Source organism: Homo sapiens, chromosome 8, assembly GCF_000001405.40.
Source record: "Homo sapiens chromosome 8, GRCh38.p14 Primary Assembly".
Lineage (NCBI taxonomy): Eukaryota > Metazoa > Chordata > Mammalia > Primates > Hominidae > Homo > Homo sapiens.
In genome coordinates this window covers 13,239,981-13,266,915 of record NC_000008.11, presented here as the reverse complement: position 1 = coordinate 13,266,915, position 26,935 = coordinate 13,239,981, and the positions used below count along the sequence as shown (strand labels likewise).

The window sequence follows — 26,935 nt, the reverse complement described above, 5'->3', positions numbered from 1 at the left end:
AGGAAGACTGGCGATGAAGCCAAACCCAAAGCACACGGGCATTAGTTATCAGGCCTTCTAATGTTATTATCAGGCCTTCTAAATTTTATTTCAGTTTCTAACAGTTTTTTGTTGTATTAGAACCATGCAAAGGGCTTTCTCTTTTTTTGTTTTGTTTTGTTTTGTTTTTTTAATACTAAGTCTTTCTCTATTGCCCAGGCTGGAGTGCAGTGGCAGGATCTCAGCTCACAGCAACTTCTGCCTTCCAGATTCAAGTGATTCTTGTGCCTCAGCCTCCCGAGTAGCTGGGACTACAGGCACCTGCCACCATATCCAGCTTATTTTTGTATTTTTAGTAGAGATGGGGTTTCACCATGTTGGCCAGGCTGGTCTCGAACTCCTGACCTCAAATGATCCTCCTGCCTCAGCCTCCCAAAGTGCTGGAATTACAGGTGTGAACCACCACGCCCAACCCAAAGAGCTTTCTTAACAGCCAGAACTTCCCAGGATAGAGTAATGTGCTCCTGAGACAAAGGGAGAAACTAGGCCTTTTTCTTTATGTTGGGGCTACCAAGCCCCTCCAACCAAACAACATACAAAACATGCCCAGAGCCATGAGTACCAGGTAAGAGAATGTGGATGATAACATCACAACCCAGAATGCTTCCCTTGTAGATGGAACACACATCTATGTCATGGCACTAACACTGGAAATTTTATAATTAGAATATCATAAGTTTATAAAATATGCATTCAGCAATTAATTCCAATTTATGTACAAGAGTTACTGCTTAGTATTTTTTTTCTTCCTTTTTTTGTTTGCTAAAGAAAGAAAGGAAGACAGAGAAAAGTTTCCTTTAGTCCTTCAGTGATTATGTGTATAAATTGATGACTTAGAACTTAAGACTATGTTTCCAGCAAAGCTCTTTGGCTCCGCATAATCATTGCACAACTGAAGATAAACATAGAGGGTAAACAGCAGAATAATTATGTCAAAGCAGTGCCTGAAAATCCATTGTAAATGCCCTTTGCACTATTTTAGACAATAACAACATTCTGTGACCAACCACCCTGTGCATACCCGAAGGATTAGCATATCATAGCCAAGTGTTAATAAACTGGAAGATGGAAAAATTAATTTAAATTAAAACATTTAACAAGGAAGGAAGGAATGAGGGAGGGAGGAAAGGAAAGGAGGGAAGGGGAGGGGAGGAGAGGGGAGAGAAGAGGAGAGGAGAGGAAGGAAGGAAGAAGAGAAGGAAGAAGGGAAGGAAAAAAAACCCACAGCCTATGAAGGACATTTGCAGGAAGATGATGGTAAACGGCCTCATGCTGTCTTGGAGACTATGACAAATGGATCAAAACTGGACACCCACTTTCTCAGCCACTACCACACACATTCCGAGCTCTCATTCTTGTGAGGCCAGTTCACAGAAAATGTTTTTATTTCTGTGACCCTGAGCATGACTCCCACTTTGCTGCATAAAGTATTTTCTGAGTGAACCTTCGCGGCCTTCCATGCTCATTAATCTCTACCACCTACCCACACATACTCCCACTCTCAAACTTCTTTTGTGATTGCCTACTATTTTTCTTTACCATTTTTTATTTAAAGTAAGATATTGAGTGTAGTCAGCTCATAATGTATAATTTGTCCTTGTGTGTAAATGCTTTCTTCGCCCTGTTCCATATTTCTCTCCCTATTCAAACTTAAAAATATTTCAGTGAATTAATAAAAGACCATAATTTAAGCTATCCCCTTGTCTCAAAATAAAGTCTATGTTTTTAAACCACATTAAGTAATGTCTCTGTGTTTAAATGGAGCTTAGGAAAATAGCATTTGACAACTTTTATTACTATAGGAAAAAGCTGACCCATACCCTTGTACAAATTGAGCTCTGAAGGTCAGAAGCCAAGTGCTTTTAATAACTTTTGAAGAGTAGGTAATCTCTGTTCACTTTGAAGACTGAAGTATGTACTAATTGCTTTTGTAAAGTGAAGGTGATGTTGCTGTAGTTAATGGGCCATGCAGTTGTATCCCGGGACATGTAATCCCAGTGTCTCATGTGGCTTAAGTTGCTGTTTTCATAACATACTCATTGTTTTTTGTTTCAATATCATTTGGTTAACACTTGGAATTGTTATCTTTGCTTCCCAAAAATCTTTTCTCAAAAAATATCTTTAGATGGTTTATCAATTAACTAATACCAAGATTATTTTACTAAATATTTTAAACATCCAAGATTCTCATGTATCTACCACTAACTTAAGTAATAAAACATTGCAGTTGCTGTTACAGCCCCGTGTGTGCCCCTCCTGGGTCATATTTCCCTCCTTCCCTCCTCTCCCGCTCCCCCTGAAGTTCTCCAGTCCTGAACTTAGAGTTTAATCACTCTCATACTGGCTTTATACTCGTTACACATTTAAGTGTCCCCAAACAATATTATTTTGCACATTTAAAAGTTTTAAGTGGCACCATACTGCAAATATCTTTCTGCAGCTGTCTTTGCTCAGAATTATATTTTTGATATTATTCGTGTTTGAACATAAAGTTCCTTATTCTGGGCTGGGCACAGTAGCTGACACCCGTAATCCCAGCACTGTGGGAGGCCGAGGTAGGTGGATGACCTGAGGTCAGGAGTTCGACACCAGCCTGGGCAACATGGTGAAACCCTGTCTCTACTAAAAATACAAAAAAAAATTAGCCAGGTATGGTGACTGCTGCCTGTAATCCCATCTACTCGGGAGGCTGAGGTAGCAGAATCGCTTGAACCCGGGAGGGAGAGGTTGCAGTGAGCCAAGATGGTGCTACTGCACTCCAGCCTGGGTGACAGAGCAAGACTCTGTCTCAATAAATAAATAAATAAATAAATAAATAAATAAAAAGCTTCTTATTCTTATTGCTGTCATACAAATATGCCCTAATTTACTTATTCATTATCCTGTTGAAAGGCATCTATGTTGTTTCCAACTATGTGCTTACATAAGTATTTGCTGTTATGAATATTATTGTCAATGTCTCTGTGCGCACATGGGTAGAAATTTTTCTGTGGTAGAGTAACTCATCTAAAGATGGAATTTCATAGTCTAAGATATGTACATCTTATATGGCCAAAGTTCAACATATATTACACATCCACCAATGGTATATTAGAATGCTAATCATTATAGAAAAAATAATTTTTCAAATGCTGTAAAAGTGGTAGAACATTTTCTTTAAAAAAACATAAAAATAAAAATGGTATGAATAAGATATTAACAAAGTCAAGTTTACATATTTTTATCTATTATATATACATATAAATTTATATATACATGCACATATATATTTATAAACACATATGTACAGATATAAATTTGTATTATATATCATATATAAATATATGACGAATAGTTTTTGAATTACTAACTGAATTCAGCAAAGACTGATGAATAAAGTTTGAAATGAAACACAAGTAAGTAATAAGTAATATTTCTCTTATCTTACTGTGGTTTCTTATACAGATCAAGCTAAAATGTAACTAAGTGTCTATTTAAAGATGATAATAACATAAAGTTCATTACTTGGGTATAAACACAGCTGAGGTAGGTGCTGAGGATAGGAAATGGAAAGAGCGACCATCTGAGAATTAGAAAAAGAAAAAAATGTAATTCAGAGATAACCACTTCACAGTAACTTATATTAAGTAACACTGATAATAATACCTAACACAATATTTCCTCCCTCCCAAAAAACTCTTGCAGGCTTCCACGGAGACCAAAGATTCCCTTGAACAAGTGGACAAACCTGCTGTAGGGACCCACTACTTGAATGTCATTGAAAAAGCAATCCTTTCCCCAAATATTGGATAAATTATCAAGTGGAGGAAGCATTAATTTGCCAAAATCAACATAGAATATATATTTTTATTCTACTCTATTAAATGCACTAGTAACACTTCATTTTTAAAATGTCTTCTATAAGCAAACCATCATGTCTTAGAATGATATGCATGTTAAAATCCAGTGTCTCTATCTCAGCATCTACTAAGAGAGATTCATAACTAGTGATGGTTATTCTGTTTTGAAGTTCAAACTACTGCCTGTGGAGATGATGACCTCTGTACTTGCATTCGTCATCCATCAAGTAGTCTTTCTTCTGATCATATTGGTAAGTTAGGAGCAATACACTTCATTATGTTTGAATGTTATCTTAAAAATGGTGGTTCATGATCCAGGCGCAGTGGCTCATGCCTGTAATCCCAGCACCTTGGGAGGCCGAGGCAGGAAGATCACTTGAGCCCAGGAGCTCAAGGCTGCAAGTGAGTTATGATTGTGCCACTGCACTCCTGCCTGAGTGCCAGGACAAGGCCTCATCTCTAAATAAAAATAAACAAAAGATAAAAATATGGTTCAATCAACTCCACATAGTTTCCTGGCAATATTGGTGAATTTGAGATTTTCTTAGTTAAATGACCTCTTTTCATTTTACTAAGTTGTCCATGTATCATTGCTTTAGAATGTCAAGTCCAGAAGGACACAAGTCAAACTTCGTAAAAAAAAAAAAATTGAGAGTTTTCCTTAGGATCACGTGATTATCAATTTTCCTCCTAATTTTAATGGCTTTTATCATTTCTTATGAAATATGTTCCCCTTGAGCAAGTCTTTAAAATTGTTCTCTTCTTCAAAATATAAACCCCTATCTTTTTTTTAAGTCTCCTAAGTTCAGTTAGAACTTCTCTCTAATAATTACCCCATTTGTGTCCTTCATTTACATATTCAGTCACAACCAATACAGAAATTATTTTATTTTTAGCACACACCATAATGTGACATTTAGAACTCACACTGTCCCTTACTACACAGTAGCACTCTTACCCCAAGAGAGGGGTCAAAGAAGAAAATATAACAAGGGTTTTTAAGCTGATTTTTTTGAGACTCAGAAAGAAGGTGAGATTGACATTTTGCCTCAACTTCTTCATATCTAAGCTAAACACCTATTAGACACATTCAATGCTTAGAGCTTTTCCTGAATTATTATTTAATGCTTAATAACTCTGTGAAGTAGATTCTGTTATCATCCTTGTTTTACAAATGCTGAAACATGTCCTGAAAGTTTAAGTATCTTGCTCCAAATCACATAACATGTCAAAAATTGAGCTTTTTGTCTTTCCAACAAAACTTGTCTTTTTCATCTCCATTCACAGCAGTTAGTTTTGTCTCCTCTCTTCTTTCATACCCTACATTTCTTCCATCAGCCAATCCTATCATCTGTACCTGCAAATGCATCTAGACGCTGACCACTTGGCACCACCCTCACTGCCACCACCCTGGGCCAAGACACGGTTGCCTCGCACCTGTGTTCTTACAGTCACTCCTCAACTGGCCTCCCCACCTCCACCCTTGCCCCACCTCCTGTAATTCATTCCAAACATGACGACCAGAGTGATATTTATAAACATAAACTATATCCTGTCACTCCTCAACTCAAAACCCTCCAATATCTTTCCCTCACACAATAAAATCCCTTCTATGGCCAAGAAGTCTCTGCCTGACCTGGGGCCTACCTACTCTTCCCACTTCACCTTCTTCTATCCTTTCCCATTCTATACACTCTGGCCTCTTTGCTGTTCATGACAATTGCTGTTCCCTCATCTTGAAAAATTCTTTTCCCAGACAGTCACATGGCTCTCTCCCTTACTTTGTCCAGGTCTCTGCTGAAATGTTACCTCTACTGAGAGGCCAGTCAGGACCACTCTATTAAAATGGCATTCTCCTCTGAACCAATTGCGATCCACTTCTGGCATGTTACATGTGTTTGTTTAGTGTCTCTCTGTCCTTTCAGAATGTAAGTTCCCCTGTGAGGCCAGGAACTTAGTAATTGTGCATCTTCATATTCCTAGTGCTTAGAAACGTGCCTGACACATTAGTCTTTGTTGAATGACTTAATCAACGGACATGTATATAAACCAAAAGGCATACACACAGATTGCCAAATGCAAGAATACATATATTAACATTATATGGTAAATTATGCAAGCACACCTTCTAGAGAACCAACTAAAAGATAAAATAGATATTGGGAATTTGAGGCAAAGCATCTATCTCACATTTTTTCTGAATCAATCAAAATACCCAGAAGCTATTTGAATCAGTTACCCCTCCCTTATGTATCACATACATTTTTTTCTTAAGCTATCTCTAAATTATGTTCTTTCTTCTATGTTGCTAATTGCTGAAACTCAAAGTACCATATATATAAATGATATAATAGTTACACTTTTATCCTTCCAGCATCAGTTGGATATTTCTTCCTTCCTTTCTTTTTCTTTCCTCCTATCTTGTCCTATCCTCACCTTTAAACTCTATTTCTATATTTCCAACTGTCTATTGGACATTTTCCAGTAGATGGGTATCATGCAACTTCACATTAAAATGGAATTAACTTCATTATCTCCACAATTAACTTCATTATCTATTCTTTCCTATCCATTCATCTTCTACAGGTGGCCTTACCTCTCCTTCATGCCTCATGTGAAGTTAATCACAAAATCCTGTCCTGTCCACCTTCTGTGTGTCTCTGCGTCTGCCTTTCCTTTTTAGTTCTACAACCACTGTGAAGGCACAAACTGCCATCATTCTTACCTAAAGTTAGGATCTTCTGAGCTTGTCTCTATGACCTTAACATCTTCCACTTCAATCCATCATTCATTCCACTGCCCTCTTCACTGTTTCACTGTTTTTGCTCAGAAACGATCAAGATCATGCAATTTCCAGGCATATCAAACCAAAGCACCTCTACCTGCTTGGGAAGATTTTCTGTTATCTGGAAAGGTTCTATTTAGCCATTCCTGTCTCCTTGCTGTTCCGCTAAAGCACTGTGTTCATTCCTCCTCTGCTGTTTGTGTGTTTTCTTTAACAAATGTACCATGATCCCCTTCATCCAAATTCCTTCTGCTTTTCATTTCTCCTGCTCTTGTAATGTCTAGAACAATCTCAACCTTTACTGATGTCCATTTCATCTGAAGTCTTATAGCACTTACTGATTTTTTTAAGTTTGTAATTACATGCTTATTTTTATTTCTATTTTTGGCTGCTATTTCATATTTTAGCCTTCTTCACCTAAGTAGATAGGAATACACTTAAACAGAAAAAAAAAAACCCATCTGTTGTACTTGTATATAGTGCTGGTATGCACCCTCATAGCTACCAGTGTTGTTTTTTTTCAGGCTGCATAACACACACCAGTTCAAATAAGCCAACATTTCTATTGCTTTCTCAGATGAAACAAGTCTACATTTCTCAGAAGAACCAAGCCTACAATTTAAGTAGGGCAGGTGGAAAAGAAATGAAGGAAATAAGACAGATTTGGAGAAGCTGTGAAAATATAAAAGACTGTAGTATCTTTATTGTAAAAAAAAATGTTAATAATAAAGCTCTTCTTCCTCACACCCCATAGACAGGTGGATTTATCATACAGCTGATGAACTTTCAGGATCTATCATTTGCATTGACTCTTCCAAGGCCCTAAGGGAGCCTTAGCACTCTGTCCGGGTGTTTTTGTAAAATCTGTAAAATTAAGATCGTGTAAAATTTTAAGTGATTAAAATTCAAATCACTGTGGTTCATTATGATTCACAGCACTGGATAGTCTGTGGGAAATTTTGCATTTATAATTTATTGTGTTGGATGGCCTTGGGGCGGCCAAGTCCTTTTGCATTTATTTTTCATGTCAGGTGCCACTGGAGTGATGGAGTGGGTATTTCATAATTGTAATTTTTAATCTTTTGATTTTCTCTTTTTTTTTTTTTTTTTTTTCTTGAGACGGAGTTTCACTGCGTTGCCCAGGCTGGAGTGCAATGGTGTGATCTCGGCTCACTGCAACCTCCGCCTCCCGGGTTCACGCCATTCTCCTGCCTCAGCCTCCAGAGTAGCTGGGAGTACAGGCGCCCGCCACCACGCACGGCTAATTTTTTGTATTTTTAGTAGAGATGGGGTTTCACCGTGTTAGCCAGGATGGTCTCGATCTCCTGACCTCGTGATCCACCCGCCTCGGCCTCCCAAAGTGCTGGGATTACAGGCGTGAGCCACCGCGCCCGGCCTAATTTTCTCTCTGTTTTCTTACTTGAAAATGAAATTGAGTATTCTAGAGTCTAGCTCCAGACAGTCTCCCACCCATATGAGAAATAACAGACCCCCGTACAAACAGGAAATGAAATAGAAAGATAGAAACTAATCTTCATGTAGGACATACTATGTTCCACAGGCTACATAGGCCATTGATACTTTGAAGTACTGCAACAACCAACTTACAGCAGATTTCATCTTCCGCAATTACAAAAGAGAAAACTCAAGCTCAAAATAATAGGTAACTGGTTAAAAGTCACATGACCAGTAAGAACTTAAATGTGGATGTGAGCTTAATTCCCCCCAATCCAAAGTCCATTGTGTTCTTGTAACCTTAGAGGGTTTAAGTGAAAATCAGGAAGCAGATATTATAAGTAAATGGGAATATATATGGGTAACTATTTTTAGAAACAAAAATCTAAATTCTCTCCTATCTTCCTATGTTTTTCAGAGCCTATTCTTAAACAAATAGTAAAAATATGATTACTTTCCTGTACTTCTCTGTATTCTGTTGATCTATTACTTCAAGAGATTCAGAGTAAAGCCGCAGTTTCCTTAGTGAAGTCGAGGATTTACAATTTGTCAGTCCCTAAAGAAGAATGTGAAGGAGGGGGTATTTGAAAGATCTGAAGAGTTCCGAGTGTGACGCTTAGACTGTTAATCTTCAGGGACTGGAATGTTTTGTTTCTCTTACCCTTGCACTTGTGATTTGCTGGGTGATTCAAGTTGAGATAGCAGCCACTCTAAAACACTACAAGGATTGAAACTTGCTGTGTTTAAGTAGTTACTTAATTGTGGCTCCTTGCTACTTTATAGCCTTGGAGAAGTCCGCTGTTGGTACTTACATGTATTTTATTTCAAGTTGGCTTTTGATGACTTCCCGCTTATAATTTCCTAGGCACTTTTCTAGCTAGAAAACAGCTTTTTCATTGCTTTGATAAAATGCATACAAAGCTTGCTCCTGACTAAAGATGTTATGAGACAGAGAGAGAGATTGCTATGAAGTTCCCATGCACTCCAGCAAGGACAGCTGGTTAGGATTAGAACATTCTACCTTCAGCATGCTGGTTTCCCACAGACTTTATTGTGTTTATGGTTTTTTTTTTTTTCTTCTTTTCCGTAGTTGACATAAACAAAGTCAACATCATATTCTGAGTAGAGTTAGCACTCTTGATGTAATCAGGAAATTCCACTAAATAATTTTTAATGTTGAATACAGCAAACATTTTATTAGTCGAGAATCTGCATTTTAATCAGCTCATACATTCTCATGATGACTGACACGTATAAAATAGATTATATTGGTCAAGATCATCTCTACCAATAGCTATAGTGATATTCACTTGTTCAATGCACATGTCAGAATTGTTGCTTTTTTTTTTTTTTTTTTTCCTGAGACAGGGTATTGCTCTGTCACCCAGGCTACTGTGCAGTGGTATGATCATGGCTCACTGTAGTCTTGAACCCTGGGGCTCAAGTGATCCACCTAAATCAGCCTCCTGAGTAGCTAGGACTACAGGTATGCACCACCTTGCTCAGCTGATTTTTTAACTTTTTTGTAGAGACAGGGTCTCATTATGTTGCCCAGGTTGGTTTCAAATGCCTTTTTTTTTTATGATAAGCATATGTAGTCCCGGGAACTGTGTGAAATTCTAGTAAAGAACATGATTTTGTGACACAAGTCATGACCACCATGGACAACTATTTGTGGCATCCTGATTGCAGTGCTACAGAAGTTTAGGGTGGAACTTGGTCTCGATCATATCTTCCAATAAAAACAAGACAGTGCACAGATTGCAAATAAAAAAGAGGGTCAGAGGCTGCAAAATGCATATAAAGAATAGCCTTCACTCAGCACACTAATAGTATGTACTGGTAGTTACAATTACTCCAAGGCAGTTCTGCGTATCTCCCAAGATCCTGCCTCTGCCTTTTTTTTTTTTTTTTTTTTAAGTTCTGGGATACATGTGCAGAACTTACAGGTTTGTTACATAGGTATACACGTGCCATGGTGGTTTGCTGCACCCATCAACCCATCATCTAGGGTTTAAGATCTGCATGCCTTAGGTATTTGTCTTAATGCTCTCCCTTCCCTTGCCCCCACCCGCCAACAGGCCCCAGTGTGTGATGTTCCCCTCCCTGTGTCCATGTGTTCTCATTGTTCAACTCCCACTTATGAGTGAGAATATGCAGTGTTTGGTTTTCTGTTCCTGTGTTAGTTTGCTGAGAATGATGGTTTCCAGCTTCATTCATGTCCCTGCAAAGGACATGAACTCATTCCTTTTTATGGCTGCATAGTATATTCCATGGTGTATATGTGCCACATTTTCTTTATCCAGTCTATCACTGATGGACATTTGAGTTGGTTCCAAGTCTTTGCTATTGTGAATAGTGTTGCAATAAACATACGTGTGCGTGTGTCTTTATAGTAGAATGATTTATAATCCTTTGGGTATATACCCAGGAATGGGATTGCTGGGTCAATAACTAGTTCAACCACTTTAAAAATCAGTGACAAGAAAAGTCATTGTTCTTGCAATAATTTAGTCTATGTAAAACCTTGTTTGAGTTCCTAGAAAGTTTGAAAGCTTGAGTTACGTAGTAACAACTACTGTACATTTAATAACTTATCAACCTCCTTTAGGATTTTTTTGGCCATATATTTATTTCATTCATTCAATTGAAAATCATGAGCCCAGAAGTCTACCTTGTAAACCTTAGTCTGGGTCTCAACTAGCTCTTGAGACCTTGGGAAATTCAGTAATAATCTACATCATCTTTTTGTTCCTCATCTGTAGAGATGGGGTTAAATTATGTTATCTCTAAATTTTCTTCAAACCCAAATATGCTATGTGCCTAGATATTTGTTCATTACTATACTGTGTTGTAGCAAAATGATATAGCATACAGGCCCTGCTTTCAAGACTGGTACATTAAACAATAAAAAGGGCAATGGGCAATATTCTTTCATTTAACAAATATTAAGTGAGTACTTCTTATATGTTAGGCACTCTGCCAATTGCTGCAAAGACGAGCGTGGATAGTAACTGCTGTGGGCATTACAAAGAAGCTATACTGGTATTGGACGGAAAGTGATCATGACAGAGGTGGGGTGAGATTGGGTTAATAAATTCAGGCAGAAGTAGGAGAGAAGGGAACAGCATGAATCCTGGTGCAGGGTGCAGAGACAGTGAAAGCTGGCCATGCAAGGTCAACAAATCCAGAGTCATCTTGCTTGGCTAAAGTAGAAAGCTGTAGTTTTCAACCCTCACATCTGTTCATTTACTATTTTTTTCTTTCATTCCATTCATTTCATTCATTCATATATTCAAAAACTATTTGCTGAGTACTTAAGTTAGTGGATATGAGGATACAGAGATGGGCAAGACTTATCCCTGCCTTTTAAATGACAATAATGTCATTTATGGAGTTCCTTTTATATAGCAGACACTGCTATAGGCTTTTATACATTTATTACTGATTTGCACAAATTACAATGAGGTATAGGTCTTACTATCCCCATTTGATAATTAACAAAATTGACACTTAAGAGTACCTTAGGCATGGCTCAGTGGCTCATGCCTGTAATCCCAGCACTTTGGGAAGCCTAGGTGGGCAGATCACTTGAGGTCAGGAGTTCGAGACCAGCCTGGCAAACATGGCAGAAACCCATCTCTACTTAAAAAGTTAGCTGGGCGTGGTGGCACGCACCTGTAATCCCAGCTACTGGGGAGGCTGAGGCAGGAGAATCACTTGAACCCAGGAGGCAGAGGTTGCAGTGAGCCGAGATTGCGCCACTGCACTCAAGCCTGGGCAACAGAGTGGGACTCCATCTCAAAAAAAATAAGAAAAAAGAAAAAAAAAGAGTACTTTAAATAACTCTTCCAAGATCATATAGTAACTCAAGGAGTCAGAATTAAAATCCAGATCCCCAATTTCCAGGATCGGTGCCCTTAACCATCACTATTGTGCCTTCTGAGTATTTGTTAAACTAAATATTTTGTTAAATGCTAAATGATTTTTAATCATATCACACACCAACACATGGAACATGTACTATGCATGAAACTTTTATCTATTGAGTAAGTCAGAAATCTATACCCTTTCCCTACTCTCAGATATCCTTTTTTTAACTGTGATTTGGATCTTTCTGTCATTCTTTAGTCAGTAGTTTCCAATAATATCTGACAACTGGGGGTGGGGGTGGGTTAGGATAGAGATAATGAAATTTTGTTCCTTTTTATTTCAGTCATCAAAGATAAGCCCTGTGGCATTAGCTTGGTTTATTATGCAACTGTGGAAGATCTAGATGGCATCAATTGTATTCATGCAATATAATGATCAAAAGTGGAAAGATATAGGTTATAGTTTGTTTCCATCTGCATTCTAATAAATTTTCTCTTGTTCTTCAACGATCTGGAGATGTGAAAGGGTACACATAGAAAACAGAAACCCAGAAGTTCATCCTTGCAGGCTACAACTGGGAAAGGCAGCCGGCCCCTGAGTGGGTAGGAGGCGTGTTCTGGCCTGTGTCCCTACATCTCTTAAAGCTCAAGACTAGTTACTTCTCATTTTTATAGTCACAGTTTTCCCCGTTGCTATTCTTTTCAAGTGCTTTTTGTTCTTTTCTTTATTCTTTTTTTTTTTAATTTTATTTAGGGGGTCGGGTTGGGGTGGGGGAAAGGAGGGAGAAGGATTTCCAGGGAGATGACCACAACATTCCGAGAAGATGAATACACCTATAACCCTAAAGCAGGTCTCCTAAATATTTGGTAGACTGCTTATATCCCTAAGCTGTTATGTCTTCAAGGATTTTTGGAAAAAGGATTTTGCCAATTAAAAGAGACCACATTCACCCAAACGTTAGATGGTTACTCTAGTTAACATCTGGGCTGCGTCCTGACGTCAGGGCTGTGGTGATGAAGTCCAGATGTTATAACTTAACAGTGTTTTTGTTACTCCTAAGCATTTGCTGCCTTTGAGTTTTTTTCCCCAGACTCTAATTTACTAATACATGAAGGTTATTAAAAAAGAGGGGGAAATGAAATTAGCATATGGCATTGACTCAGACTAACTGAATTCCTCCTCTTCCTAAGCCCACTCTCCAGCCATCACAGGATGTGCAGCCTGGGGAAAGCAGGCTCCAGGACTTGCTAAGATTAAGGTGTTTGCATTCAATTGCTATTTTCGGTTAAAACAGGTGAGATGATTTACTAAGTCTTTTCAGTTTAGTATGATATGGTAAGGAAACAGAAAAAGGAATAAAATCAATTGTAAATATTCCACATTTTTGATAGCTGTTTTCCCTTTAATCTGAATTTTGTGTCATATGTCCATGTGCATACACCTATGCACATATCTAAACACCACACATACAATCACACACACACACACACACATAATATGTATTTTTCTAGAGGAGAACCACCACTTACACAAGAAGCCATGTTAAAGCAAGTCCTCTCACAATGAACGAGGACATCCAATGACAATTTTTAAAAAGGCATTGTTACTCTCTGACATCTGTGCAAGAAGCAAAGAAAATTACCAAGAACAGCTTCTTCCTTCAAATCTCATTTTAGATCTATGTCTATTAATTTATCTACAAAATTTGCATGACTATTCTTATTTTTAACTGATTTCACTTCTTATGCTAATGAATTCCATATGAGCTTTCTTACTTGATATTAATGGCTCAACTTTAGTTCTTACACCAGTCCAGGAGTTAACCCAAATTCTGTGTATGTTATTGCAAGTTTTGGGGACTTGATCATACGATGGCTTCTCATTTCCCTTAATCCACTGGATTACTGTTTGTGAACCTATTCTAGCTTCATTATAATGTATTTTAAGGTACATGATACTTTAACAGTGAACACAGAAGGGTAGGATTAGCTTTCTTGTTTGGGTTCTTGATAAAACTTAATGTTTTCTATAAATAAGTTCTGAGCCAATTTAATAGACATGTGGCTATAGGTCAAGACACTCTTCTTCCTCCCTTTCCTGTGTCATTACTATTTGGTCAGAGACCTTAAGAGGGCACGTGTAATGGAACAGTTCTTTGGAGCATGACGTAAATCTTTTGCTCATTTTTCCACATGATGATCTTTCAAATATTTGAAAGCAAGCAAGAGAGATATCCTCTTAAACTCCAGGTTATATATCCATTATTGCAACATTTTCTTACTGAGAAAGATTTCTAAACAGTCCCTTCTAGATACTTTCTAGTATTTTAATAGCCCTTAGTAAATAAGATACTATACATCTGCTCTGAGCAAGGTAGAATACAGTAAGATTTTTTCTTCCCTTATTCTAAACCATATGACCGTATTAACAGCCTATAACAGCAACATATCTGTTGTCTTTGTATCACCTATACCGCACTGATGGTTCATGTTAAGCTTCTTAACAATGAACAAGAGTTCTTAGACCTTCCCTCTCGTGCAGCAGGGTTTGGAGGTCTTTCTGAAGCCTAAACGTGAGTGGCCCTTTGTCGCAGTTATATCTAATGCTGCTCATTTTACATACTCCTCTCTTTACCCATCACTGGAGACTACTGAGATAATTCTGATTCCTTCTCTCTTCATATATTTGTTCTTTGTCTTAGTTTTGTGACACCCATAGATTTTATAAGCATGTCACTTGGGACTTTTAATCAAGGACTTTTTATTTAATTTAATCAAAATGTTACTTAGGACAAGTTCAATGACAAAATTAGAGAATTTTATCCAGGCACACATCCATATCCAGTCAATAATCAACAGTCTTAAAGGTCACTTGCTCCACAAAAATATGACTTTATTCAATGTCCCAGCATCTGTCCTGTCTAAAAGAATATCACTAAAGCTTAGTAAAATGCTTTTCTGGTATCCCATTTCCCTTATGTAACTTTATAAAAATGTATATTATTAAGAAATTATTTTTCATCTAATTCATTCATGTTTCAATACTTTGGACCCAACTATGTTGTCTCTAATAATAATTATTATAGCTTATATTTGTATAGTGCTTAAACATAAATAACCCTCATGGAATACTTTCAAACAGATTAGGGAAAGATATGGGATTATCCCCCATTTTAAAGATGAAGAAACTTTGGTTCAGAGAGGTGACTAGAATTTAGATCTCATGATTTTGAGCTCAGTTATTTTTATTTCCATGACCCCACAGCTGACAAGATTCAATTGTATTTTACTCACATAGTCAGGTACTCAATGAATATTTTTGAATAGATGGATAAATTTATCCAAAAGGTCCTGTATCCAAGGACCTTGCCTCAATGCAGTTTGTCATGTAAAAGAGGTGGAAAGTTGTTGCCAGAATAAAAACTAAAATTATAAATAAAATATATAATTTTTACAGACTTTATATATGGCCCATACAATGATTAGGACTATATTTCCCAAATCCCAAATTGATACCAGATTGGTATCAATCCAGTACGAAATTGCCAATAATCAGCAGCAAAATGAGAAAAACAAGGGCAATTGCTATGGGCTGAATTGTAATTTCCCACCCTGCCCCATCAGCCTGCAGTTTATATGTTAAAGCTCTAACCCCGATGTTACTGTGTTAGGAGATAATTGGGGTAAGTGGAAGGTATAAGGAGGTAAGTGAGGTTAAATGAGGTCATAAGGGTGGGGCCCTAAGCCAATAAGAATAGTGTCCTCACAAGAAGAGAAAGAGCCAGTAGGAGAGTGCACATAGAAAGGAAAGGCCATGTGAGAAGACAAGAAGGTGGCTGTCTATAAGCCAGGGAGAGAGGCCTCACCAGATACCAACCTTCAGGGTACCTTGATCTTGGACTTTCAAGTCCAGCACTGTGAAAAAACCACTGAATCTGTGGCATTCTGTTATGGCAGCCCCAGTAGACTTACACAGCAATGCACTGAATTTTCTTTTAGTATTAAATGTAGTCATCTTAAAGCCTTATCCATTATTCTATCCTTCTTGCTTTTGTATTATTAAAATATCCTCACTCTTATGAAATTATGGTAATAATAGAAGCTTGTTTGGGAAGATGTGGACTAAAGTAAGTACTTTATTTTTTCTTTCTCTCTCTCTCTTTCTTTTTTTCTCATTAATAGCAACTTCCACTCTGCTTAAATACATGCTTAAATCTCTTCTATCCTGGCATTCTGTTATGGGAGCCCCAGTAGACTTACACAGCAATGCACTGAACTTTCTTATAGTATTAAATTTATTCAACTTAAAGCCTTATCGTTATTCAGTCTTTATTGCTTTGGTATTATTAAAATATCCTCAGTCTTATGAAACTATGGTGATAATACAAGCTAGTTTGGGATGATGTGGATTAAAGTAAGTACTTTACTCCAGAATTACCATAACAATAATTACCTATCTAATCCTATGCCTTTAAGGGTTTATAAATTTTATCAGTCTAGGACATCCAGAACTCTAGAAGTCATTGGAAAAGAGCATGGGAGTGAAGAAATGATACTGTGTGGGCCAGCTGACTTCAACCAGGAGAACTCTTTGAACTATAGGGAACTCTCCAAGGTCTTTGCAGAAGCTTAGTGGAGCAGATGGGGACAATATTGTTCTATCAGAAAGCAGCAGTATGTTGGTTAAAAAGTAATCAAATTATATGAAAGCAATAAAGAGGCAATATGAATGGAGAGTCATTTGGTAGAAGTTTATATGGAAATATTTATTTAACAAGTACGTATTGATCCTATTCCATGTTCCAGGGATTGTGCCAGGCAATGGGGACACAACAATGAATGCAATCCATTCCACGCCCTGAAGGGTCTCACTGTCCAGTACTGGAATAGAGCAAGGGGACGTCAGTGATGGAAGTGGCCACAATGTCCCAAAGCACTTCAAGGGAGAGGCCCCCCAAGCCATCCTGGAGGGTTCTGGCAGGCAAAAACAATTCAGGAAGAGTGGATGACAGGTGGAAAGACAAGATATGGGCAAGTGTGTGAAGGAAGTGGTAACCTGGGTGGAGACTTGTCACATGGAGACATTCTCCTGAGAATGAAAAAGAAGGATCAATGGGGATAATTTAGGATGGGAAAGGATGGGTTTATGGTATGTTGTGGTTTTCTGTTCATTGTTGTTCTTGTGATTTTGGTTTGGGTTGTTTCTTAATCAGGATGGAAGAGACTTTAGCATGTATTTAAGCAGAGGGAACGTTGCTGTAAAAGAGAAGACAGAAAGAGAAAGAGAGAGAAAGGAAGAAATAGGTTGGAAGTCTGAGAAAGGAATAAGAAAATTGTTGAATCACTAATTCAGAAGACTGTGTGAAAGGCACAAGTGAAGAGAGCCTTGGCTAGGAGGAGGAACCACCCTGAGACTGATAGAAATGGGATCACGGTGGCAGTGGGTACCATGACAAGGAGTGCCTGGAAGCTGAGATAGAGGATACCAATAGTCTCAACTCTCTTAATGCAGTGGAGACAATACAGTCTGCTGAAAATGAGTCAGGGTGGCCGGACGTGGTGGCTCACACTTGTAATCCCAGCACTTTGAGAGGCTGAGGCGGGTGGATTGCCTGAAGTCAAGAGTTGGAGACCAGCCTGGCCGACATGGTGAAACTCGTCTCTACTAAAAATACAAAACAAATAGTCAGATGTGGTTGCAGGTGCCTGTAATCCCAGCTACTCAGGAGGCTGAGGCAGGAGAACCGCTTGAACCCAGGAGGCAGAGGTTGCAGTGAGCGAAGATCGCGCCATTGCACTCCAGCCTGGGCAACAAGAGCGAGACTTTGTCTCAAAGGAAAAAAAAGAAAAACGAAGGTTTGAGATGAGTGGGGAAAGTTTAGAGGCATCACTGAGGAATGGAAAGTGAGGAGTCTAAGAATGAGTAAAATACCCCTCTGAGGTTAGGGAGTAAATGAGTAAAATAGCCCCTCTGAGGTTTGGGAGTTCCAATTGGTAATGATTTCTATCTGCAAAGCTGTGGAAGTTTCTACAGTGGTAATTAGTCATCCCAGGGAGGGAAAAAAAAGGTGAATTGCAGCTTTAATTCAATGTGGAGGTTTTCCTGGTTGAAGATATTGAGAAGCCAGGATACCAGGGAATGGAGAATGCGTGTTCAAGAGTAAAAGACTGGCTCCACCCAGCTGTGGAGAGGGAGACATGGGATGGAAGGATGAGATCAGAATGCGTTTTCAGGGTTGAGGACTTCTGAAGGAAGCACCCCAGGGGATAAAAAGATCCAGACTGCTGCTCAGTGATGGTGCTGGAATTGCAGGGTTACACCATGTGGGGGGTGTCCGCAGAGACTTTGCCTCCCACGGTGAGGCTGCCAAGGTTGGAGTTAAAGGGAAGTATATGAACAAAAGGCTAGAATCTTTAATAAATAAGGGGGAGTAACTGGGGATTGGATTGACATGAACTTGACGGCCTCACTTCAAAAGAGTTGGGAGAATAAGGATTGGGAAACAGCTCAGAGTCAGAGAGTCTTTCTCAGAGTCAGAGAGTCTTTCTTCCTGCAACTAACCTAATAGAATATGGAAGCAAAATGAGGCTTCAGGAAAAGAGGTTTGCTAAGGGGGAAGCCAAGTCTCCAATAGGACCAACAGGTGCAGAAGCTGCTGCAAAAACTGTGGATATAAGAGAGTGTGTTATCAATTAAATATGATGTCAATGGTACAGAGAAAGGGGCTGGGAAGAGAAGGGGAGCAAAGAAACAGGAGCAAAGGAGTGCTGGACAACATCACAAGGAAGTGGTTCATTTAACAACTGGGCAGCTTCCCTGTGCAAAAGCACACTGAGGACTGAGACTAACCAGGTGCCTGCTTTCCTGGAGCTTCAGTTCCAAATAACTTGCACTGTGTTTTGTAACTAAACATTGTAGACAGCCGATGCATGGTTTCAAGCTGTAAAACTACAGCTAATCATTTACATATTGTTTATTAGACTCACTGTAAACAACATCCCATTAAAATGAATATAGAACTGAAAAATGCTTTTAACTTTGAGCGGTTATGGATAGCACTATGGGGCCAGCTATAATATTAGTAAAATATCACATGGTTTGGTTAGGAAATTCTTGTAGCACGATGGTGAGCCTCAAGTCTATGATAATCAGCCTGGAAGATAAAGCAGTTCTATTTTTTGCACTTGTTTGATCATATTTTCCACATATCTTCAAAGACAGGCATTTGCATGGTGTTAGGGCAGTTAAGCATAGTGGTTATGGGAAACGGTATCATGCGACAATTGAGAGCATGGATCTTGGAGATAAACCTGTGGGATTTAGATCTCCATTCTGTGCTTAGAATGTAGGGAATTATGGGCAGGATACTTAACCTCTCTGGGCTTTGGTGTCCTCACCTGTAAAATGGAAAGGATATGAATACATCTGTCTCATGAGGTTGTTGCAAGAATTAAATGAGTCACTAAAAATAAAGCACTTAGAATGCTGCCTGGCACACTGGAAGTCCTAAATAATTGTTAACAACTACCATAATTGCATAGAGCATGCCACTCTTTGAAAGGTATTGTGTCTTCTATAGTTGATACTGCTTTGCAAAGTGTTGGCTGTACTAGTTTTGCAATTGTACTTCTGACCTAGTAACAACTGTGCCAAATTGCACAAGCAGATAGTAATGTCTGGCAGTGTCTGAAGTTTTCACTGCTAATGGAACAACTGGAACTGACTTTTACTTGGCATCCAACCAATGAATTCTTGCCATCATTTCAGCAATATTTTTGCCTTTTGTCTCTAATATTTTCAGTGGCCATGCACTAAATACTTATAAAAAGCAGCTTATTTCTTTCTGGGCAATAGGTGACGCTCCTTACAATGTGGTTGAGAGCACAGGATGGCATTCTTGTTAACAGAGGAGTCTGTTTCTGCCTGTATTTAAGAGAGACACTCAGTCTGGGTTTTGCTCATTACAGTTTTGCAATCCAGGGTCACTTCTAGGTGGGGCACTCTACTGACAACAAAACAAGCATGAACAGTATTTATGATCTAAATGATGGGGTGCATTGGCCTTATGATACTGCTTTATTCATTCAACAAATATTAGAAATATGTCTCAGATCCTCTGCTAGATCCTGGGTGACAGCCCTACTCTGTAGACTATCTCCAGATAGTTAAATAGGAACTCAGATAAATGTGATAAAGATGTTAGTGAAGCAATGGCATGCAAGTGGGTGTCAGGTGATGGAATGTGGTCGCGTAGAAAAAAAAAAAAGCATTTGTCGTACTATACCTTTGTAGGTATCTTTATTATGAACCTGATGAGAAACTGCATTGATATGAATTGCTGTGAACTCTTCATTTTCAAATGCTTTCTGAGCATCAAATTCTATTTCAGATGATCACACATACACACACACAGTCATACTCTCTCCTTCTCTCTCCGTAAGAATGCCACATGAGTGAATCTACGCAGAAAAAAGAAAACCACTCTATATGTTGAAACATTAATAACTTCACACTACACTAATAGTATCATCATTGACACCTTAATGCCTAATTTTCTTTTGGGCCAATCAATCTCATCTGAACAGTTACCTGGCAATCTTATAAAATAAAAGAAGTGTAAGATATTTAAAAGACGTGCTTTCTGACTTTTAAAATCAAAGTAATTTTCCTCCAAATGAAAAATATTCCATAAATAAAAATGTGTATTTAATTCAATTCCTTCCTGCCTTTAACTCGCCATTATTGCAAACAGCCTCTAAAACTCTTCTCAGTTCTAGGTGGAAGTGTTGCTGGACTCTCTAAGTCAGCCCCATTGCCTTCTGTAATATTATGTTGTCTCAGGACCACCACCCTGGTTCATGTTTTATACTTTTCTTCAGCTTGTTTAAAGTGTTCTTGTTTAAAGCATTTTAAAATAGTTTGTGGCTGGGCATGGTGTCTAACACCTGTAATCCCAGCACTTTGAGGGGTTGAGGCGGGTGAATCACTTGAGGTCAGGAGTTCAAGACCAGCCTGTCCAACATGGTGAAACTGCATCTCTACTAAAAATACAAAAAATTAGCCGGGAGTGGTGGTGGGCACCTGTAATCCCAGCTACATGGGAGGCTGAGGCAAGAGAATCGCTTGAACCCAGGGAGCTGAGGTTGTAGTGAGCTGAGATCATGCCACTGCACTCCAGCCTGGGTGACAGAGTGAGCTCTGTCTCAAAAAACAAATAAAATAAGAAATAATAAAATAATAAAAAAATTTTAAAAGTTTGCATTTATCTAAACAATTTCTGATGATGGGAGTGGTACAGTATCTTAACGTGGATTTCCCTAAAGAAAAGTCCCTGAGACAAAGATTCAGGTGGAGGTAGCTCATTTAGAATGTGTTCCCAGGAGGCACAAGGAAGAATGAGAGGGTGAGAGGAAGAGCCAATAAAGGGTTAATGAGCAGATTTCTGCTGCGGCTGTGCATTGTTTTACTATTGCTGCAAAACCACCTCAAAACCTAGTGGTGTAAAACAACCACTTATTGTGCTCACAGCTTCTGTGGGTCAGAATTGGGATAGGCACAGAGTGCCTCTGCTACACAATGTCCGGGATATTGGCCAGGAGAGTTTCAAAGGCTAGGGTTGCAAGACAGCTAGAGGCCAGAATCACATAGAGGTGTCTTTAGTGCCTGCTGGTTGATGCAGACACCCCAGTGGGGCCTCAACGGAGCACCTACACCTGGCCTCTTCCTATAGCCTGGGCTTCCTCACAGTGTGGCCACCTCAGGGCAGTCAGACCTCTTAAAACAAGGCCCCCAAAACAAACGTCCCAGGGAACAAGAAAAACTGGCATCACTTCTTTGACCTAACCTTAGAAATCACACAGCTACATTCTGTTGGTTACAAGCAAGTGATACTCCTGCCTTAACATAAGGGGTGGAAAAAAATAAAGCTCAACTCTTGAAGGAAGTTATGTCAAAGAATTTCCAGCATTTGTTCTAGAAACAAAAACAAGAACAACAAAATGTTGGCATAGTATAAGCAACCGTCTTCCTTCTTGCCTGGAATGGTTAAAGTGAGTGAAGAGGTGTGAGAGGGAATATGAATTAACAGACAATTACAATATACTATAACATACAGGTGATAAGAAACAAATATGTCGAAACTATAATTGGATCACAGTAGAGGGGCATGTTTATCTTGGCCAGGAGATTCAGGAAAGGTGGGTGAGAGTCCATCAGATGAAGAAACGTAGGGAAGAGATTTTTAAGTGGAAGGAATAAAAGCAATCTCTTGGTGTGTGCAATTTGGTAAAGTGGGAGGAGGAGAGTGGCAGATAAATGTGGAAAGGAGGCCAAGAGTGGTGGCTCATGCCTGTAATCCCAGCACTTTGGGAGACTGAAGTGGGAGGATCACTTTAGGCCAGGAGTTTGAGACCAGCCCGTGCAACATAACAAGACCCCATCTCTATAAAACAATTAAAAAGGTAGCCAGGCATAGTGCTGCACACCTGTAGTCCCAGCCACTCTGGAGGCTGAGAAGAGAGGATCACTTGAGTCCCAGAGTTCGAGGCTGCAGTGAACTATGATCGCACCACTGCACTCCAGTCTGAACAACAGAGTGAGATCCTGTCTCAAAAAAAAAAAAAAAAAATTGGAAAGGGAAGATCATGAAAAATCTTGAATATCATACTGACAGGCAGAGATCTGATTTTTAGGCAATGGAGGGTCCTTAAAAGTCACTGTAAGTATCTAAGAGAAAGATTATCATAGCCTGAAGGAAGGAAGTATAGCTAAACAGTAGGGAATGGGTTTGAAAAATATTTAGAAAGTAAAATAATTAGTGCCTGGGGATTACTCAAGTGTGTGAAGCACAGGAAAGGGAGAAGTCAAGCTTCACACCAGGTTCCTACCTTGGGTGCTTGAAGGAATGGTGGTTCCCCCAGGTGAGGAATTTCCTAAGAGAAGCAGGTTACAGAGGAAAAGAGTGAGTATGAGGTGCCTGTGACCTCCACAGATACACAACCCCAGGACAGGTGCATATATGAGTCTAAACTTAAGAGAGAGGGACAGTCAAAAGATACCAATTACGGAGTCATCAACAAATAGGAAGAGAATGAGATTGTCCAAGAATACATGGAAAGACAGAGAGCAGCTCTTTTGGCCCTTGGAATGCAGATGTTGCTAGTAACTTGATGTTGTTCGCAGCTGATGACCTCAATTTTCTTGATGATAAGGAAGACAAAGTTATCTCTTGAGAGAAAGTGGAACTCAAATACTGATGACAATTTTTAGTACAACAGTGACAAAGAGAAACAAAGATCTAGAAAAAAAGAAGAAAATATGCTCTGTTAGTGTCATGCAAGTCTTCATCATTGTTCCTATTGTTAACAAACCCTTTCCTTGTACTCTAAAATTCTAACCCTAGGTCTCTAATTTTTCTCACATGGCTGTACAAAACTACCTGAGACTGGACATTTATACAGAAAAGAGGTTTAATTGACTCAGTTTCACAGGCTGTACAGGAGGCATGGCTGGGGAGGCCTCAGGAAACTCACAATCACGGCAGAAGGTGAGGGGGAAGCACATCTTCACATGGTGGCAGGAGAGAGACAAAGAGTGAAATGCTACACACTTTTTTTTTTTTTTTTTTTTTTTTTTGAGACAGAGTCTCACTCTTGTCACCCAGGCTGGAATGCAATGGTTTGATCTTGGCTCACTGCAACCTCCAGCTCCTGGGTTCAAGTGATTTTCCTGCCTCAGTCTCCCGAGTAGCTGGGATTACAGGCATGTGCCACCATGCTTGGCTAATTTTTGTATTTTTAGTAGAGATGGGTTTTTGCCATGTTGGCCAGGGTGGTCTTGAACTCCTGACCTCAAGCGATCTGCCCACCTTGGCCTCCCAAAGTGCTACACACTTTTAAACAACCAGACCTCATGAGAACTCACTCACCATCACGAGAACAACAAGGGGGAAATCCACCCCATGATCCAATCACATCCCACCAGGTCCCTCTTCTAACATGTGGGGATTACAATTCGACATGAGATTTGGGACACAGCATCAAACCATATCAGTCCTGCTCACTAAACTGGTAAAAAAAAAATTGCTAAAAATGTTAAAGTAATATTTTCCATAACCTTGGGCACCCTCATAGTTGATTTCAATTCCTTCTGATTTACACACACATTGAATCATCACTAAGCAAGAAAATATAAGCCTTCTCCAATGGCAACACCTGTGTAAACCTATTGAGGAGACCAGGCACAATGGCTCACACCTGTAATCGCAGCACTTTCACAGGCCAAGGTAGGAGAATCGCTTGAGCCCAGGAGTTCAAGATCAGCCTGGGCAAACGGCAAAACTCTGTCTGTACAAAAAATTAAAAAAGTACAGATGTAGTGGCATGCACTTGTAGTCCCAACTACTTGGGAAACTGAGGCGGGAGGATCCATTGAGCCCGGGAGGTCAAGGCTGCAGTGAGCTGTGGTCATGCCACTGCACTCCAGCCTGGGCAACAGAGAGAGACCTTGTCTCCAAGGAGAAAAAAAAAAAAACTGATGGGGAGATATTTTCTTTTTTCTTTTCCTTTGATGTTTAGGATTCATTATTCTAAAACATCTCAACAATCTATGTGTGTCAGAAATGGTTTCCAACAGACAATAAATATAGACTCCTCCTATCAACCTTCATTACCACAAGAAATTCAGAGTATTGATGCTCTAGGAAAGATGCCTTCCCTAGAGAAATTGGCAGAGGAACAGAATGAGGACTAAGAAGACAAGATGAACAACCTGTTTATATGAGGACATTACTGCCTTACTCAACAGATACGAGCAGTGTAACGATGGTAATATTGGAGTGCATGAGTGTTTTACCTATAAAAGAGATCCTCCTAGTTAAAAAGAGCTGAAAAACCACTGAGTTAGATAATCCTAATCCATGGATAATCCCCACATTTTCCTTTAATGGCTTCATCTGCCACCCCCAAGAAAGCTTCCATCCAAGCTCTGAACGTGAGCCAAATGGGCAGATCTGAGTTTTGCCCCCTCTTAATGAAGCATGGTAAATGACCACAAGGCAAGCTGCTAAGAGAGGAAATGAAAGGACCCCGGGGTCTGGATATACCAAACTGGCTAATTGGCCCCTGAAAGATAGTGAGCAGCGTGTTAATGCCTCTTGTGTCCTAACAGAACAGCAGGATCTCCATGGAAGAATACCTCTCCAACTGGGAGGTCACCATAAAAGCAACATTCTCAACCGGCATCCTTTGTCCCTGTTGAAAGCCCTGAAAACATTTCTGCACAGTGTTACTTTGCCGTTTAGAGGACTTGGATGCAGGGTGCAGAGAAGGAAAGGAAAGGCTTTTCATACATTTCCTCCGCTACATTCAGAGACTCTTACTGAAATATCAGTTTTAAGATCTTCCTTTTATAGTCTACCTTTGAACCTGACCTAGAATACCAAACACATAAAAAAGGTATAAGGGGGATGGAAAACCAGAAACTGAGGAAAAGGAAACCAGAGGGAAAAAAATGTACCCCAAATCAGGTTGGAAATGTTAGCATGGGAAAACTTCTATACATGTGTGATGTTGCCTCCCATTTGCCCACACTAAAGAGTTTACAGTATGTATTTGCATAATATTATCTCCCTAAACGGCCTTTTCTTAATGCTTAATTGAAAGCAGTTCTCACCTCTGGATACTTTCTAAGCATCTACTTTTATTCCAAGTGAGTAGAAGATCAAAGTGTACATATAGGGATGTTATGAAGCCACAGTTTGGCCTCCAAAGCCTCCTTATTGAAGGGCAGTATTCTTCAGATAGACCTTGAGTCCATGCAAGAATGTAATTTAAGTGTAGAATTATGTGACTGCAGCAAAGCTCAGCTGCTCCCCTTCTTTTCTCCCTGGCTGTCTCCCTTTCTGTCTTCAGGATTTATTCCCCTTCTCTCTCAACCCCTTCTTTGGCCTTCCTTGCTCTCTCCTTCTTAGCCTCCTGAATCTAGTTAGAACAGAGAGCCAAATAGTGTCCAAACACTATTCATAGTTTAATACACATAGCACCAGGAAAGGCTCAGGTTTTATACATTTAGATATTTTCCTCATTTGGAGCAAAGATATTTCTAATTAAAGAAAATATATATATTTCCATTTGAATAGAAATTGGCCATCACCAACTTAGGCAGTGAAAGTTACCTTAAGAAAATATTGGCCAGGCCAGATGCAGTGGCTCACACCTGTAATCCCAGCACTTTGGGAGGTCTAGGTGGAAGGACTGCTTGAGTTCAGAAGTTTGAGACCAGCCTGGGCAACACAGGGAAGCCTCATCTCTACAAAAATCAAAAAATACAAAAATTAGAGGGGCGTGGTGGCATGTGCCTGTAGTCCCAGCTACTTGGGAGGCTGATGTGGGAGGATCCCTTGAGCCAGGGAGATGGAGGCTGCAGTGAGCTGAGCTGTGATCATATAACTGGACTCCAGCCTGGGCAAGAGAGAGACCCTGTCTCAGAAAGAAAATGTACATATATGTGTATATTAGTCGAGTGATGGTTGCATTCTTTTTCTCCACCAAAGTTAAAAAGATCTTGAGGAAGACATTTGAGGCAGATGAAAGTTATTGTCACGTTTCATTGTTATGTTCCTTTGAACTACCAGCCCTTTCTTCACCTTTGAATCTGGGCTAAATCTCTTGCTTCTACAGCTTTTTCTGTGGTTTAGAGGAGGACACTACTACGGGAAAAGAGCAAGTCCAGCCTGGTAAACTGCACAGAGATATGCCCAGGTCTCCAGAGACATCTACTTGAGGTGTAACTTCCACAGTACGCTGAAGTTTGTTCCTGTGGAAGTTTCCATGAGGGGCTTAAAAAAAAAGTCCCCCTAATCTTGTTCCCACGTGTCTACTGTGCATTTGAAGATGAAGATTATTTATGTTTAGAGAGCACTGTAGACACTTAGATACCTCTCCAG

The 26,935-nt window shown here is 39.4% G+C and overlaps 1 protein-coding gene across 16 annotated transcripts in view; it reads left to right on the top strand.

Moving 5' to 3' along the window:
* DLC1 (DLC1 Rho GTPase activating protein) overlaps nt 1-26,935 on the top strand; it is a 521,260-nt gene that overhangs the window by 337,705 nt on the left and 156,620 nt on the right. The window lies entirely within an intron of this gene.